The sequence below is a fragment of the Homo sapiens genome, chromosome 4 (genome assembly GCF_000001405.40).
Source record: "Homo sapiens chromosome 4, GRCh38.p14 Primary Assembly".
In the NCBI taxonomy this organism is placed as follows: Eukaryota; Metazoa; Chordata; class Mammalia; order Primates; family Hominidae; genus Homo; species Homo sapiens.
Genome location: NC_000004.12, coordinates 121,307,408 through 121,308,461, shown reverse-complemented (window position 1 = coordinate 121,308,461; position 1,054 = coordinate 121,307,408). Strand labels below are relative to the sequence as shown.

Below are 1,054 nucleotides of genomic sequence, written 5' to 3'. Positions count from 1 at the left end.
GCAGTTTTGGGGTGACTCATCAGATTTTTAAAAGGGCTGGAGAAGTAGGCTCCGGGCTGAATTTGCAGGAATTACCCTCATGAGATGTAACTGCCCTGATAAGAAGCCACTTCCTCTGCCACAATCTGGAAGATAAGGCATCAAGGAGCTACCACCATAATTGCTGGCCTTAGGACCCTATATAGCTTACCATGACCCATGTGCTACATAAATTGTGATTTGTTAATTCCAAATTTGTTATCCTCTCTAGTTTATTGTTATATCTCTTCTTTTTCACATTTTCAAACAAACTCTTGGAAGTGAAAAATACCAAGCTGCTCTTTAAATGTAAAGATGACATTATTATTCTACCAAATGCATTTGGAAAATAGACTGTAAAGGGCTATACTTCAAAAAATATATGTATTATTCCACTCCCTTCTCCCAAATTTGACCTCCACCTAACCAGGTGTCCTTTTTCCTAACATTGCTCTGTAGATGGCGCTATTGCTGCACAGTGGCAAGTTGGTAGCAAAAGAAACTGACCTTTAAGAGGACTCAGAGAACAGGTTAATTTTAAAGACATCTGGAACTCTGGCACATGGTTGGGTCAGAGCTAAGTATTTTCAAGTTTGGTTTGTTGTTAGATGTTGGTGAGTTGCCTCTAACGTCTGGAAAGCAAAGATTAAAAGATGCTTGGAATTTGCAAGCCACAAGGTTGGTTTGGCCCCAAGACAAAAGGTACAGAGCTTTAAAGTTTAGTGGATGTTCCTGACAGCCCGGTTTATATCTCGTTTTGCTCCTTTTGGGGTTCACCTGGGCTTGTGTAAAAACGTGACAACCTGTTCAAGAGCCTGTCTTAGCCTGTGGGAAGGTGGACTAGAGGAGCTGCCTGAAAGATGAAGTCATGAGAATAAGGGAGGTGTTTTTCATTTCATGCAGACTCATGGTTTTACTTCCTCTTGCCCAGATACCCTCTCTTACCTTGGTAATAAAACTTTGTTTGTGTCTCTTTCTGACTTTTGTTTTGTGCAATAAATCATTTTTCTAAAACTATTCTTTTGGAAGACAAATT

General features: G+C 39.9%; 1 annotated feature.

Moving 5' to 3' along the window:
* Positions 530–619: an enhancer, noted in NCBI's record as "active region_21865". NCBI's record gives its function as "activates an Ori minimal core promoter by ATAC-STARR-seq in GM12878 lymphoblastoid cells {active_cell/tissue: GM12878}" and the evidence as "EXISTENCE:reporter gene assay evidence [ECO:0000049][PMID:35858748]".